The 18003-nt window shown below is 38.4% G+C and overlaps 1 protein-coding gene across 13 annotated transcripts in view; it reads right to left on the bottom strand.

Moving 5' to 3' along the window:
* ATP8A2 (ATPase phospholipid transporting 8A2) overlaps positions 1-18003 on the bottom strand; it is a 653878-nt gene that overhangs the window by 490125 nt on the left and 145750 nt on the right. For 12 of the 13 annotated variants that reach the window (NM_016529.6, NM_001411005.1, NM_001411006.1 and 9 more), the window contains 4 exons: positions 5629-5728; positions 5067-5165; positions 3410-3455; positions 2414-2454 (listed from right to left, as the gene is read on the bottom strand). In NM_016529.6, coding sequence (NP_057613.4) covers positions 2414-2454; positions 3410-3455; positions 5067-5165; positions 5629-5728 — 286 coding nt within the window. Of the gene's footprint in view, positions 1-1080; positions 1227-2413; positions 2455-3409; positions 3456-5066; positions 5166-5628; positions 5729-18003 lie in introns of those variants that run through there. The other variant, XM_024449369.1, reaches the window with a different exon arrangement.

Below are 18003 nucleotides of genomic sequence, written 5' to 3'. Positions count from 1 at the left end.
CCTCCCACCTCATCCTCCTGAGTAGCTGGGATTACAGACACGCACCACCACGCCCAGCTGATTTCTGTATTTTTTTGTAGAGATGGGGTTTGACCATGTTGCCCAGGCTGATCTTGAGCTCCTGAGCTAAAGTGATCCAGCTGCCTCAGCCTCCCAAAGTGCTGGGATTGCAGGTGTGAGCATGCCCGGCCTGGAAATGGTTTTAATGTTCTTACATGATTGTTCCTTGTGTGTGCAATACTCCCTCAAAGAATTAGTACACTGGGAACAGAAACCTTCCAGATCCCTGAATCCACTCTAGCCTCAGAGAGTTCCTCAAGTCTCTTAATTTTGAGGAAGTAGCTGAAAGATCCTCTCGAAGTCAATCAAAGCCACTGAGATCCACCTGAGAGCTGCCTCTTGGCGCTCACCCGTGACTCAGCTACAGCCCAGGGGACAGCAGATCTGAGCTTCAGCACTTCAGATTAGATTATTATCATTTTGGGGACCTTAAGGACAGCCAGCTTCCCCTTGCCTGACACCTCTGCCCTCTCCTGTATTCTCATCCTCACATTGAACTACTCACAGTTCCGCAGCTAGTTACCCCTGATTCACCCTTCAAGAGCGCACTAGAGCATCTCTGGAGGGCAGACTTTCCTGATCTGAACCACTGGGTCTAGGTAGGTGGCCCCTCCCAGCTCTTCCCAAAGTGGAAGCTTTCTCCTACACAGAGCTCAGCAACTGCACTGCGTTAGGTTAGTTGCCTCTCTCTCCCAGGACACCGGTGGTTCTTGAGTGTGCTCCCTACACCATCGGCATCAGCCTCAACTAGTAATTTGTTTAAATGTGCAAATTCTAGGGCCCCACCTGAGACCCAGTGAATCAGATAGCCTGGGAGTGGGCCCAGCCATCTGGGTTCCAGCAGCTCTGTGGACGGTGACTGGGATGCCCACTGAAGTTTGAAACTCCTTAAGGGAAGCGCTGAGCTTCATTCTTCCCATGCCTAGTACAATCTCTGGCACATGCCAGGAGCTCCACTGAAATAAACCAAGTAAATACATTTTAAATGGAAATAAAACTGCATGCGGTACAGTACATAACTGGTGTTTCTTTGTTATTGTTGTTTTTCTCCCAAATGAACGATGGAAACAGTCATGAGTTTTAGGAGTCTGCAAAGCTGTCAGCTCCTGGACCACAGAAGACCATCAATTAGAGACCATCACTCCATTTTCTGCTGTTTCAAGTAATGTCAGGCCCTCTGAATCCAAATCATTCTTCACTCTAGCTGATACTGATACCTTTCTGGGGAGGGAGTAACAAGAAGAACCCTAGAGAAATAGAGGGGCAATTTCCCAGTGCTGGGAGAACCCTTGAATTCCTTCAGCATTGGGAGCATCTCTCCCACTTTGAGTCAAGAATTCCCAACCTCCTGACCAAGAACCATGACCTTTCCAAACGTGAGGTTGATGAATGTTTGCAGCATACGACTTCAAGATTGCAGCAAAGGTTAAGGTGTTACTGTAAAACACTATAAAGGAGAAATTTCTTTAAAGGGTGGCGAATTCTCCTAAAACAAAGTAAAGTAAAACGAAAACTAAAGCAAATGCTGCAGTTACCATATCACGGGCATTTTTCAGATATAAAAGACTGTAAGAGGCATTTAAAAACATTGTTTATTAAATGTTTATTTAGCAAGAAGAACCACTTCAAGTTACCCTTCTAAAAAGCTGTTTTCTTTTGAAATCATGTTAATCGGCTTTGAATGCTGGACTAATGAGAGTCATCCCCCAACACATCTTGTGTCCATTAAGAAGGTCCAGCTAAAACACTCATTTAAAAAGCTAATTTTATGAGATATAAAATACCTAGATGGTATGGCAGATTTCTTCTAAATTTTCTACTCATCACCATAAACAACCAAAAAACCACACCATTCTTCAACCCTCTAAACCTCATACTTCCAGGGACGTGGAAGCAAAGCTTTCCTTGCTATTATTAAGAGCAGCTAACTGCTGTGCTAGAACGGAAATGGGGTGGTTTCTTGCCCCCTTTCCACCACTCTGTAGTTAATGACCTTTCCACCCAAAAATGTTTAAAGTGAGAATCACAAATGCTAAAAACAAAAATAAACTTTAACTTAGGTTAAGACAACAGAGGACCAGGGAAAATATTTCTCAAATTGGATTTAGAAACTAGAAAATACTTTGAGATTTCAGAAACGTCACTCAGGAGCGATGAAGTTCATAGCTTGAAGTGACACATTGGGCCCTTACTAGAAGGTGCAAGGGAAGGAGTAAACACGCATCAGGTCTCAGCAGACCTCATGGAAAACTCTACTGTGTCTAACAGAAACTTTATACTGCAATCAAGACCAGCAATTCATTACGCGTCTTCAAACCAATAGTACTGGTACATCTTTAAAATTAGTTTTTACCTCTTTCCACATAATGGTATGCCACATACCATTTCTTAACACTGAAAAAGAGAAAAATAAAATATTGGTTAATACTGGTGTTAAATTGAATCAGCTTCCTAAAATCCAAAAGCTTTCTTTTAGAATTCCATTTATTAATTCTAACATACCCTATCTTTAGCCATGATGGCATAACATCAGCACCCCCACCCTCAAAATGGAACACCAACGTATGGTATGTACCTCTGTAACATATATACATTCATGCATACACATAAATGTTTATGTATGTATGTAAGTTAAATCTACTTATTTTCAGCCCAGAAGAAAAAAAAAGCCTGCTGTTCCACAATTTAAAAAAAACTGAACAGCTGGGCGCAGTGGCTCATACCTGTAATCCTAACACTTTGGGAAGCCAAGGCAGGCAGACTGCTTGAGCCCAGAAGTTTGAGGCTAGCCTGGGCAACACGGTGAAACCCATCTCTACCAAAAATACAAAAATTAGTCGGGGGTGGTGGTGCTTGCCTGTAGTCCCAGCTACTCAAGAGGCTGAGGTGGGAGGATCACCTGAGCCTGGGAGGTCAAAGCTACAGTGAGCCATGATCATGCCACTGTAGTCCAGCCTGGGCAACAGGAGTGAGACCCTGTCTCAAAAAATGAAACAAACAAACAAAAAATTGATGTTGTAGAAATAAAACAATAAAAAGTAGAAGAGGGAAGTAAGGAGAGATTATAAATGAAGGACATGAATGCTTAGACTTTTTATGGACATAAAAACTGTCTAGTTCCTGAAAATTACAACCTTTTCTAACATTCTAAAATACACAAATGCTGTTCAAACTTAATTATCAGGACTAAAATTATGTTCAGTTTGTTTGTTATTTTACTATTTCTTTATTTTATAGATCATCTTCCCAATTTATCTCAATACCATTCACTACTTATTTAAAATTCCTTAAATGCAGGCCTTATTCTTAAGTTTTCCAGTGGAAAAAGTCCTTCAGCCTGGGATCTTACCTATTGTTTTCTTTTTGTTAACTGCATTGTCTGCCTTGTGTCGCTTCTGTTACAGAAAGAAAAAAAATAGTTTAACATTCAAAAGTTCCACATGAATAATTGAAATAGCAAACAAAACAATCAGGAAATTACAGGGGACAAGGAAACTAAATGCCAATAATGCTCATGCTGTAAAATTCAGTTAGACAATTTTGTGATCTATCAGCACTCCCTAAGTTTAGAAGTGGTCTCCTCTAGTTTCAATTATTTTATTTTGGTTCTAGCACTTGGAAGTACAAAACTTTTCACTCCTTGCTTTAGATCAGACTGAAATGATTATTCAGTGTGATAAACCCAGCAACAAACAGCCAACTTCATTTTATTGATAAAGTAACTTTGCTTCGATGTGTACAGGTTGAAGATCCCTTATCTGACATGCTCGGGACTAGAAGTGTTTCATATTTCAGATTGTTTCAGATCCTGGAGTATTTGCATATACCCAATGAGGTGTCTCTGGGATGGGACCCAAGTCTAAACATGAAATTTATTTATGCTTCATATTCACTTTATGCACATAACCTGAAGGTAACTTCATACAGTGTTTATAATAATTTTGTGCAGCCATCACACGAGGTCAGGTGTGGAGTTTTCCACTTGTGGCATCATGTCGGCATGCAAAAGTTTTGGATTTTGAAGCATTTCAGATTTGGGGTTTTTGGATTTAGGGATGCTTAACCTGTATTATATTTATTTACATACCTATTCCCAGAAAGATGCATATATGTTTGTGAAAGCAAGGTGTGTGTGTATGTAAGGGAGGAGAGGAAGATCCAGAGACAGAGAGACAGCACATGCAAACATATATATATAACATATATATAATCATATATATAATCATATATATAATCATATATATATCATATATATAATCATATATATAATCATATATATATCATATATATAACATATATATATCATATATAACATATATATCATATATAACATATATATATCATATATAACATATATATCATATATAACATATATATCATATATAACATATATATCATATATATCATATATATCATATATAACATATATATCATATATAACATATATCATATATAACATATATCATATATAACATATATAACATATATATATCATATAACATATATATCATATATATAACATATATATACACACACACACAAATATATAGGGGGAGACAGAGCAAGAAAGACAGGGAAAAGGAATATAGTTGCTGTAGCCAATGAACTTGGAGGTACACTAGGATGATTGTGAGGGGAGAAGATTCTTGTAAAATTGCCTCAGGCAGAGCGAGACAATGCTGCCATCCTAGACAACACAGCAATCTTTCATTTGCTGCCCAAATTAGCAAGCTCTAAAGCAGGCTATAAGGAACATCAGTGATAAAAATCAATGGGGCTCCAGAGACCTAATATTTGAAAACAAAGTTTGAACTGTTTAGTGTCACTGTACAGGTATTTAGGACACTCTGAGTATACATTAACTCCCCCTAAAAATACCATCAGGTGTCTAAAGAGGCTGGTTAAGCTATAGCCCAATTTCCTGCCTTAAATATATCACCCGAGGCAACACATAAGTTATTATCTACTGCATACAATGATTTTATTATCCAAAAGCAAAAACTTACAAAATCTTCTACAATCTCTTTGATGCCTGCAATTGTTAAAATAATGATCAATGGCACCAGGGTGGTATATCTTCCTGTTGGAGATACATCTGGAATTTGCTGGAAGATAAGAGACCACAAGTAGGAAGTTGGCACATTAAAAATCCTCTCCATGAACAGAAAATTACGGCAGTCACGTACGTTTCACACTTTTGCAGTTCTGTTCCATTTCTGTTACTCAAAAATAATTACCTTACTTTAAAAACTAGCTACGTATTTTACATATTTTTAAAAATTTTATCCAACATTGGTTATGTGTTTGGAACAGAAAAAGGCTTAAAAGTATGGCCCTAAGGCCACTTTTCAATGCCTCTTTCAGTCACTGCAATCATCCTCAAGGCCATACCAAAAGAAATCTCCCTGTATACAAAGTCAGGCTTGTTCACTCTATCAAACAATGACTAGAGGAGGGAAACAAACTATATTCCAAGATTATAACACTTTAGCAGTTAAGGAACCTTTAGCAAAATCTCATTTTACATGTAATTAAGTGAATTCCAAGGAACTGTTAAAAAACCATTACCTGTAATAAGGCAATGAAGAGAAAGAAGGCATTAGCAGCTCTTCTAATCTGCTCATACAAGAATCGAGGTAGAAATGTCAACACGCTGTACTTGGCCGTACTGTAAGTGCAAAGAAAAATAATACTATCAGTTATAGATGTAAACTCTAAAACACAAGAACAGGACAAGAAGTTTAGAAAGTTTTACAAATGGTTTAAAAAAAAATGTTTCAAAACTCAAGACAAGGAAATTGCTGTGTATCTTCTCCTAAAGAGCTTTAGTTTGTAAAATGGCGCCCCTGATGAGAAAATCTTCCAATGTGGTCTTTGTTTTCTACATTGGAAGATATACATGTGCTTCTTTAATTTTCACACAACATAAGCAGAGACATCTACCCACCTTCTAGGAGCTATATGCTATGAACAGCAGGCGTGTGAATAACAATTCGATGTTCCCCTCTGGGTAACCACCACAGATGTTTCATGCTTCAACCACACCCAAATAAATTCCATTCCTTCCACACACCCTTTATTTGATCATGTTTGCTCACACTTTTGCTTCCACCTAGGACATCCTCTCCCTTACACCCTACCTGTCTCTCCATGACCAAAGTATCCTTCCTTCCACCCAATCTTACATCTTTCAGTAAGTCTGGTCAAATTTATAACGACACTCCTCATGCAAGCCTACAGTACAGTGTTTACACCTATATCATATAGGCATAATGCTTTGCTTAGTATTTTATCTATCCCCAGAACAGATTATGGGAACGACAAGAATGTTTACTTCAATTCCATATGTTCCTAGCACATAGCAGATAGTGAGTGAACAGTGAAATAACCCAAAGGCAAAATTAACCAAACCAGCTGTGGCTGCTCACACATTTTATTCAAGTTTGCACCATAAAAGTACCTATATGATTCCTAGCTCACCCTCTGAAGACATCACTCTGAGCCTATTCTTAATTATAATATATTCTAGCAAGATTATCCAGCAGGTTTTCATCATTCTGAGCAAACTATCACAAGGACAGAAAACCAAACACCACATGTTCTCACTCATGGGAGGGAATTGAACAATGAGAACACATGGACACAGGAAGAGGAACATCACACACTGGGGCCTATTGTGGGGTGGGGGAAGTGGGGAGGGATAGCATTAGGAGATACACCTAATATAAATGATGAGTTAATGGGTGCAGCACACCAACATGTGTATGCATATGTATGCATACACATGTTGCATATGTATGCATACACATGTTGCATATGTGTGCATACACATGTTGCATATGTGTGCATACACATGTTGCATATGTGTGCATACACATGTTGCATATGTGTGCATACACATGTTGCATATGTATGCATACACAAGTTGCATATGTATGCATATGTAACAAACCTGCACGTTGTGCACATGTACCCTAGAACTTAAAGTATAATAAATAAAAAAAAGATTATCTAGCAGGTTTTTAATTTACAACAAATTAGAAGCACCCCAATAGAAGGGCGAAGGGCTCAGGAGACAGAATACACCAGAAGCAAAGTACACTACTGTGAGACTGGACAGCAACCAAGCCTGGAACAACAGAGTAAAACCAAAGTGGACTACTCAAAAATATAGCAGCCAGAGGTCATTTGATGGAACAAGAAATAGTCCCACTGCCAATAGTCCCATCTGCCACTGCCTCAGAGAAAATCATGCCCCATGGTACAATGGCCTCGCATTTCACAATACAGTGATCAGAGTTATCCTTAAAGACAAAATCATTTTTAGCAACTTCTACCTAAGGTGCTAAAAATGTATGTGATGTTATATGAAGACCACTTTTTAAAGAGTTAAAACTTAAACAATATGTAACTTGAAAGACTATCCCTGAATTAGCTAGAAATTTGCTGACATGGATCTCCTCCTTGTTTAAGTGGCCCTGTGGCATAACAGGATGTCACTGTGAAATCTGGCCAGAATCAACAGCTGACATTAAGTTCATTAAAAAGTAGGGAAAATACACAAAACTCATGTATGTGATAGCTCACAATACAAAGTCTTCTTAACTATGGCTTAGAGGACAAAATCAAATGGCATATCATGCATACCTCTACAGCAATCCTGACCACTGAAATAAAGCAATCAACATTTGTCAGCAAAAAACAAAAAGAAAGTTCACATACTGTAAAATAAGAGTGTAGAAACTATCTTGCAAGATAGCTTGATTATAACATTTGAACCTGAGATTCCATCTGTATAAACCAGATACACATGCACACAGTTGGCACATTACCCCAGCTATATATGAACATTTTCCACTTGAGCAAAATGCTGACTGTGCTTAAGGACCTACATATCCCTGAGAACCATGAAGATGGAGAGTTGAGGAGGAAAGGAATCTTGCTTGTGGCAAAAAATGAAATATAAGAGGGTAGAAGTGGAGAGGGAAATGCATACTAACTTTTACTCTACTAGAACTAGAAAAACGAGCCCAAATGCTTGCATCCTGAGATAGAGTAAGCATGATCAATAATTCAGAGAAATTAACATTCATCCAGGAAAAGGTTATTGTGTGGCATTAAAATAATTGCCAAAATATATAGCCATTAGCTGTCATGTTACAGAATTAAAGATATAACACTACAAACAGCTAAAGGCAGCACCTATCAAAATGAGTCTACCAGAATATTGCAGGATGGTACTTCTCGAACACACCAGTCTCCTGGAGAGCTTATTAAAATGCAGATTCTGATTCAGTACGTCTGGGGTGGGCCTGAGATTCCACATTTCTAACAAGTTCCCAGGTGAGTTCAATGCTACTGGTACAATGACCACACTTTGAGTAGCAGGGATTTAGGATAATTCCTGAGGAGGTAAATTTGTTCAAACTTCCTATTTGAATTTAATTCAGCAGAGCACTATAAGGTGTAATACAATGAGGTTTCTGGTTCCAAAATGGTGGCGTGGAAGCAAGCTGGCTTCATTCCCCACACAGAAAACAAAAACCAAATTTACAGCACTAAGGTTATCACCACAAATATCCCAAAACTAGAATATGAGGATGAGACAGTTCTCAGTGCCACAGAGAAGTAAAAAAGCTCCAAGTAGATGGTAAGAGAAGGGGACATCCACAGCCAAGACATCCCTCTCCCCAATCTGCCAGCACCAAGCACGTGGAAAATTTCCCCCAACTCTCAGTTTAACACTGGAAAAAGGAAAATCAAGGTGACGGGCAGCTTCCCCATCATCTTGAGTTCCCTGGCAGGATACCTGTTCCTACCTCAACTCACAGGAAGCATGGGGAGTGCTTGAAGGAAGAAATATCCCTGGGGACAGCCAGAGACAAAGTGAGGAGGCAGGACTACTATCCCCAACTCTGGAAACTTTGCTCTATAAGTTGGCCAAAGAGATACCAAATTGCAGTGTCTGCTTAGCAGCACCATGCTGTAGGAGGTTCATCCCACAGGTCCCCTGAGCACAAACCCCTAATTCACCTTCCCACATTGCTAGGCTATCCCCTTTGGCACCATTTCCATTTGGGATGGACAGTGCTCCAATTGTTTATTAGAGTGGAGACAAACCTGGGCTTAAGGCACCATCTAATGCTGAAAAGGAGGCAGTGACCTAATGGGAAAAGAAAGAAATTCAACAGGTAAATTACAATGAATCTCTTAAGCAAATATATCCAATGAAAAGCAAAAGAATCCAGACAGAGAAAACTGAAATAACTAACTAATTCTCCAATGCAAACATATACACATACATTCATAAGTGACAGCAGCAAACAGGGAACCATGACTTCCCTGAACAAACGAAGCAAGGATCCAGTGACTAACCCTAACAAGATGGTGATATGTGAGCTCTCTGAAGAAGAATTCAAAATAGCAGTTTTAAGGGAACTCAGTGATTTTCAAGATAACACAGAAAAGCAACTCAAAAATGTATCAGAGAAATTTCATGAAGAGATTGAAATAGTAATAAAAACAAACAGAAATCTTCAAACTGAGAAATGTATTTGAGGAACTGAAAAACTCATTAGAGGCTGTCAGTAGGAGAATGAATCAAGCAGAAGTAAGAATAAATGAGCTCAAAGACAGGCAATTTGAAAATACACAGAGAAGAAAAAAGAATAAAAAGGAACAAAGATTGTCAACAAGATAAAGGAAATTACCTCAAAAGACAAAGTCTAAGAATCACTGGTGTTCAAGAGGGAGTTAAACAAGAGCAAGGAGTAAAAAGCTTACTCAAAAAAATAACAGAAAACTTTCCAAAACTTGAGAAAGAGATAAACATCCAGGTACAGGAATGTCAGAGAACAACAAACAGATCTGACCCAAATAAGACTTCACCAAGGCATGTAATAATCACATTCTCAAAGACCAAGGACAAAGAGGATCCTAAAAGTAGCAACAGAAAAGAAGAAAATAACGTATAAAGAACCTCCAATTCATCTGGCAACAGACTTATCAATGGAAACCAAACAGGCCAGAAGGGAGTGGAACAAAATTTTCAAAGTGCTAAAAGAAAAAAAATTTCCATCCAAGAATACTGTATCCAGCAAAGCTGTCCCTCAACTATGAAGGAGAAATAAAGGCTTTCCCAGAAAAACAAAAGCTGAGAAAATTTACCATCACCAGATCCATCTTACAAGAAATACTAAAGGAGCTTCTTCAATTTGAAAGAAAAACAAACACTAACATGCAAATAGAAAACATTTGAAGGTATAAAACCCACTAGTAAAATTAAGCATATAGACATACCCAGAATACTCTAATACTGTAATTGTGGTGTGCAATCCACTCATAACTCTAGTATGAAGCCCAAAAGACAAATCTATCAAAAACGAAAACACATACAGAAACCTGCTAAAAAATAGGCAGTATAAATATATCCAAATTGAGGTAACAAAAAAATCAATATGTAGGGGAGATAGAGTTAAAACACAGAGGTTTTTTTAGTTTATTGTTTCTATTCCTTTCTGTGATCTAAGTTAAGTTGTCATCTCTTTAAAAATAACTTGTTATATCTACAAGATGTTTCTGCAAGCCTTGTGATGACCACAGTGCAAAAACCTATAATAGATACACCAAAAATAAAAAGCAACAAATTAAAACCTATTACCTGAGAAAATCACTTAACCACAAAGGAAGATGGAAAAAAGAAAAGAAGGACTGAAAGACGGAAGGAAAGAAGGAAGGAAGGAAGGAAGGAAGGAAGGAAGGAAGGAAGGAAGGAAGGAAGTTATCAAACAATGAGAAAACAAGCAGAAAAATGGCAGTAGTAAGTCCTTACTTATCAATGATAACACTGCATGTAAATGAACTTAATTCTCTAATTAAAAGATATATATAGCTGAATGGATAAAGAAACAAGACTCAGCTATATGCTGCCTACAAGAAACCGATATCACCTATAAAGACACACACAGAATGAAAGAGATGGAAAAAGATATTCCATGCAAGTGAAAACCAAAAAATAGTAGGATTACCTATTCTTATAATACACAAAACGGACTACAAGTCAAAGACAAAGAAGGTCATTTTTATAATGATAAAGGCAATTATAAATATCTATGCACTCAACACCAGAGCACCCAAAAATATAAAGCAAACATTAATATATCTAAAGCAAGAGATAGACTGCAATACAATAGTAGTAGGGGACCTCAGCTTCCCACTGTCAGTAATGGACAGATCATCTAGACAGAAAATCAGCAAAGGAACACTGGAGTTAAATTGTATACTAGACAAAACAAGACTAACTCACATTTACAGAATATTTCACCCAACTGCTGCAGAATGCATTTTCTTTTCATTGGTATACAGAACATTCTTTAGAATAGACCATATCTTAGGATATAAATCAAGTCCCAGCACATTCAAAAAGTTAGAAATCATATCAACTATTTTTTTCTGACCACAATGAAATAAACTAGAAATCAATAACAATAAGAACCCTGGAAACTACACAAACCCATGGAAATTAAATAACATGTTCCTCAACAACTGATAGGTCAATGAAGAAATTAAGAAGGAAAATTTTAAATTTCTTGAAACAAATGGATATGGAAATATAACATACCAAAATCTATGGGATACAGCAAAAGCAATGGTAAGAGGGGAAGTTTGCAGTAATAAACACCTACATCAAAAAAGGAGAAAGACTTCAAATAAACAACTTAATAAAGTACCTTAAGAGATTAGAAAAACAAGAACAAATGAAACCCAAAATTAGTAGAAGAAAAGAAATAATAAAGGTAAGAGCAGAAATAAAATTGAGACTAAAAAAAGTACAAAAGATCAATGAAACAAAAACTTGAATTTTTGAAAAGATAAGCAAAATTGACAAACCCTTAGCTAGACTAGGAAGAAAAGGGAAGACTCAAATAAAACCAGAAATGGAAATGCAACATAAAAACTGAGACCACAGAAATACACACACAAAAAAAATCATTAGAGACTACTATGAACAATTATGCACCAACAAATCAGAAACCAAGAAGAAATGAATAAATTCTCAGGCACATAAAACCTACCAAGACTGAACCATAAAGAGACAGAAAACCTCAACCAATCAATAACAAGTAACTAAATCAAAGCCATAATAAGAAGCCTCCCATTAAAGAAGAGTCCAGGACCAGATGGTTTCACTGCTGATTTCTATGAAACATTTAAAGAAGAACTAATACCTAGCCAGGCAAGGTGGTGTGTGCCTGAAGTCTTAGCTACTCAGGACGTCGCTGAGGTGGGAGGATCTAAGCCCCAGAAGTCAAGGTTGCAGTGAGCCAAGATTGCGGCACTGCACTCCAGCCTGGGCAATGAGAGTGAAACTCTGACTCAAAAAAAAAAAAAAAAAGTTATCCTAAAGCCTTGAAAAAAAATTGAAGATCACGGAATACTTCCAAACTCATTCTGAGGCCAGCATTACCCTGATAATAAAACCAGGCAAGAAAATTATAGGCCAATATCACTGATGAACATAGATGAAAAAATTCTTTTTTTTTTTTTTTTGAGACAGAGTCTAGCCCTGTTGCCCAGGCTGGACGGCAGTAGTGTGATCTCAGCTCACCACAACCTGTGCCTCCTGGGTTCAAGGTAGCCTCAGCCTCCAGAGTAACTAGGATTACAGGCATGTGCCACTACCCCTGGCTATCTCTTTGTATTTTTAGTAGAGATGGGGTTTCACCATGTTGGCCAAGCTGGTCTTGAACTCCTGATCTCAAGTGATTCACCCAACTTGGCCTCCCAAAGTGCTGGGATTACAGGCATGAGCCACCATGCCCGTCCAGTAGATGCAAAAATTCTTAACCAAATACTAGCAAAATGAATTCACCAACATATTAAAAACATCATTCACCATGATCAAGTGGAATTCTTCTCAGGGATGTAAGGATGGTTCAACATATACAAATCTATAAATGTGATATATGACATTAACAGAACCAAGAACAAAAACCATGTGATCATTTTAGTAGATGCTGAAAAAAGTATTTGACAAAATTCAGTATCTCTTTATGATAAAGATCCTCAACAAACTAGATATAGAAGGAACATACTTCAAAATAATAATGGCCATACATGAGAAACCCACAATCAACATCATACTCAACTGGGAAAAATTGAAAGCCTTTCCTCTAAGATCTGGAACATGATAAGGATGCCCACTTTCACCACTGTTATTAAACATAGTATTGGAAGTCCTGGACAGAGAAATTAGGCAAGAGAAATAAATAAAGGGCATCCGAACTGGAAAGGAAAAAGTCAAATTAGCCTTGTTCACAAAGGACATGATTGTAAGTTGCAGGATACAAAATCAACATACAAAAATCAGTAGCATTTCTATATGCCAACAGCAAACAATCTGAAAAAAGAAATCAAGAAAACAATCTCATTTACAATAGCTACAAAGAACGTAAAATACCTAGGAATCAATTTCACCAGAGAAGTGAAAGATCTATATAAGAAAAACTATTAATACACTGATGAAATAAATTGAAGAGGACACCAAAGAATGGAAAGATATTCCATGCTCATGGATTAGAATTAATATTATTCAAGTGACAACACTACCCAAAGCAAATGACAGATTCAATATAATCCCTATAAAAATACCAATGATATTCTTCACAGAAACAGAAAAACACAATTCTAACGTTTATATGGAACCACAAATCTTGAATAGCCAAAGCAATCCAGAGCAAAAAGAACAAAGCTGGAGGCATTACACTACCTGACTTCAAAACATACTACAAAGCTGTAGTAACCAAATCAGCATGGTACTGGCATAAAAACAGACACATAGACCAATGGAACAGAATAGAGAAGCCATTGGGAGGCCAAGGTGGGAGCACCACTTGAAGCCTGGAGTTTGAGATCAGCAACATTGTGAGACCCCATCTCTTAAAAAAAGAGAAATAGAGAGAACCCAGATATAAAGCCATGCATTTATAGTCAATTCATTTTAACAAAGGCGCTAAGAACATACAGTGGGGAAAGGACAGTTTCTTCAATAAATGATGCCGGGAAAACTGGTAATTACATATCAAAAAAGAAATCTAGACCCCTATCTCTCATTATACAAAAATCAAATAAAAATAGATTAAAGGCTCAAATCTAAGACCTGAAACTGAGAATTACTAAAATAAAACATTGGGGAAATACTCCAGGACATTGGTCTAGACAAAGATTTTCTTGTATAAGACCTCAAAAGCATAGGCAACCAAAGCAAAAATAGACAAATAAGGTTACATCAAGCTAAAAACCTCCTGCAGAATGAAGAAAACATCAACAAAGAGACAACCCAGAGAATGGGAGAAAATACTTACAAGCTATCCATCTGACAAGGGATATGTAAGGAGAATATAACCAGAATATAATAAGGAGCTCAAACAACTCAACAGCTAAAATAAATAAATAGATAAAATAATATGTTTTAAAAATGCATAAAAGATCTGAATAGACATTTCACAGAAGAGACATACAAATGGCCAACAGGAAAATGCTCAACGTAACTAATTCTCAGAAAAATGCAAATCAAAACCATAATGAGATATCATCTCACTGCAGTGTAAATGGCTATTATAAAAAAGACAGGGAAGATTGAATGCTGGCAAGGATATGCAAAAAGCAGAACCCTTGTACACTGATGGTGGGAAAGTAAATTGGTACAGCCAGTATAGAAAACAGCATGGAGGTTCCTCAAAAAATTAAAAATAGGGCCGGCACGGTGGCTCATGCCTGTAATCCCAACACTTTGGGAGGCCAAGGCGGGCAGACCACGAGGTCAGGAAATCGAGACCATCCTGGCTAACATGGTGAAACCTTGTCTCTACTAAAAAAAATATATATATATACAAAAAATTAGCCAGGTGTGGTGGCGGGCACCTGTAGTCCCAGCTACTTGGGAGGTTGAGGCAGGAGAATGGTGTGGAACCTGAGAAGCGGAGCTTGCAATGAGCCAAGATCGTGCCACTGCACTCCAGCCTGGGAGACAGAGCAAGACTCCATCTCAAAAAAAAAAAACAAAAAAAAAAAAAACTAAAAATAGGAATGCCATATAATCCAGCAATTTCACTTCTGGCTATAGAGCCAAAAGAAAGAAAATCAATATGTCAAAGAGATATCTGTCTGCACTGTCATATTTATTGCAGCACTATTCAGCATATTTACAGTAGCCAAAATATAGAATCAACCTAAGTGGCCATCAGTGAATGAATGGATAAAGAAAATGTGGCATATATACACAATGGAGTACTTATTCAGCCACAAAAAATGAATGAGATCCTGTCATTTGCAGCAACATAAATTGAACTGGAGGTCATTATATTAAGTGAAATAAGCCAGGCATAAAAAGACAAATATCACATGTTCTCACTCATATGTGAGAGCCAGAAAAGTGGATCTCATGAAGACAGAGGGCAGACTGGTGGTTACCAGAGGCTAGGAGGGGTAGCACGGAGGAAGAGATGAAGAGAGGTTGATTAATGGGTACAAATACACAGTTAGGTAGAGAAAATAAGAGCTGGTATTTGAAAGATCAGCAGGGTGACTATAGTTTACAATAATCTGTTGTACACGTCAAAATATCTAGAAGAGATTTAAGGCATTGGATATCCCAATTACCTTGATTTGATCTTTACACACTATATGAATGTATCAAATTATTACATGTACCTTTAAAATATGTGTTAATACAACTATTATGTAGCAACTTTTTAAAAATGTAATAAGATGGGAGATGTTTTACCATTCACTCTGCCAGGGGAAAAACATCTCCAGGGGTAAATGGGTGAATGACAGAACTTCCCAACAGGATAGTTTATTCACCCAAGTAAATAAGCCACCCCTCCCCTAAAGACATTCCCACTCGTGTGACGAAATGCATGTGCCAGCATCACTGTCCTCCTGGCTAGTCACAGCAAGGAGGGGCTTTAGCTGCATGGAAACCCAAGACCTTAGAGCTTGGGGGCTGGAGATAAGTGACCAGGCGCAAACAGGAATATTTCTCTATGATTCACTCAGTCTCCCTCTAAACATGAGGCCAGTGTTTCCTGAAACTGGGTGACATGAAGATGACCGGGATTTATCAAAAATCCATCCATCCATCCATCATGTGCAATAGATATTTCCTGAGCCCTAATTATGTACTAGGGCAGTGTGCCAGCCCCCGGAGATACTAAAGGGAACCAAGTGGTCAAAAACGCACACCCTCAAGGAAATTGCACTCTAGAGGAGAAACGAGATTAAAAAAAAAATAGAACACATAACAGCATAGATCGTGATGAATACTGCAGGGGAAAACAGATCAGGGAAGGAGGATACAGAAGGGTACACTGGCTGGGGCTGGGAGGAGGATTATTTTCAACAGAGTGGCGAGGGAAGGTTTCACTGAGAAGGTGACCTGTGAACTAGGCCCTGAAGGAGGTGAAGGAGCAGGAGCAAGTCTCATGGACGCACAGGGGAAGAGCTTTGCAGAGGGAGGGGACAGCGAGTGCAGAAACGCCAAGGTGGGAGAGCTCCCGTTGCTCCACCTGTAGGAGGGAGAGTAAAGAGCCCAATTTGGGCAAACGGAGGTGGAGAAGTATGAAGAGAACTGAAATGAACGTGGCAAAGGGCCAACGCATTGGCCTTGTCACTCATGTTGACACACTGGCCTTTTTCCTTTTGGGAGATGGGAAGATCTGGAGGCTTCCCAGGAGAGGACAAAACCTGACAATAATATCTATCTGCAAACCCTCCTCTGAGGAGCCCAACTCATGGGGTGGATCTTGTTACATGTATGTTGGACACGCTTCACTCCATAACTCATAATTAGGCACATACAGAAACAATCCATTAGAAAATAGGGTCTGGCAAAATATGGGTCTGGGTCTACCTGATCCTCACAAATCACAAGGCACCACAGGAGTCTGACCTCCAGAAATGCAGCAGAAAGCAAGAACCCACAGACAATACCAGAGTCTGATTTTCCAGCTACGAGAAAAATTGAAGTTGACAGCTGTTCTCCAGAGACCGATTTAAAAGACGCAAAGTTCAGTAGCTGCTCAAAGTGTAACTTCCCCTTCAAGCAAGCCTCCAGAAACAGAAATTAAGCTAAACCTTAACACGCAACACCAAAATGGAAACAGTAAATCCATGTTAAGGTGTAAAGACAGTCAAAAACAATTGCCTTATTCTACTGCATTCCATGGCAAAACAAATTTCTTATATCTTCCCAACATACAGTAAGCGTTCAATATTTACTGAAAGAATAAAGGAGGCTTTAAGCGTCCCCACCGGAAGCTGACTTTGTGAACAGGGCCAGCATTCCATGCCCATGTCCTGGAAGCCTTCCATCCTAGCAGGCTCCCGATAGGATATCATTCACCTTCCTCCTCCCAAATGGTCACTCAGCAAGGAGTTCTAGATGATTGGAAGTTGAGGACAAGATGATAACACTAAACATTAAGCAGTTTAATTCAATGATTCCTTAGCAGTGCATTCAACCAATCAAGGGAAAGAACAAGAGCAACACCACCAAATGCAAAAGCCCTTCCCAGTGGCCCTCTGCCACTTCTCTTGATGGACATCACTGCATACCTGGGAGCCACCCCAGAGGACATTCCAATGGATGGCAAAGCCCATGGCCTTCCACATCTGGCATCAATTCCTTAGGCTTTGCCACCATCCCTCCCAAATTGTATTCTGGAAATAATCTTAAATCCAAGAATTCCCACTGATAAATAGAGCCTGTCAATGGTAACATATGAGCACCTTACAAGAAATTTTCACTTCATTTTATTAATGCTAAACTACTGAAATCTCACCAGTTACAAATAAAAGGTCACTAAGTTCATTTTAAAACACTGCCATTTATATTTTCAACATGTTCCTAATTCTTAGTCTACAGCAGGAAAAAGGGGTGTC

Source organism: Homo sapiens, chromosome 13 (genome assembly GCF_000001405.40).
Source record: "Homo sapiens chromosome 13, GRCh38.p14 Primary Assembly".
NCBI classification, from domain to species: Eukaryota; Metazoa; Chordata; class Mammalia; order Primates; family Hominidae; genus Homo; species Homo sapiens.
This window is presented reverse-complemented; position numbering and strand designations above follow the sequence as displayed.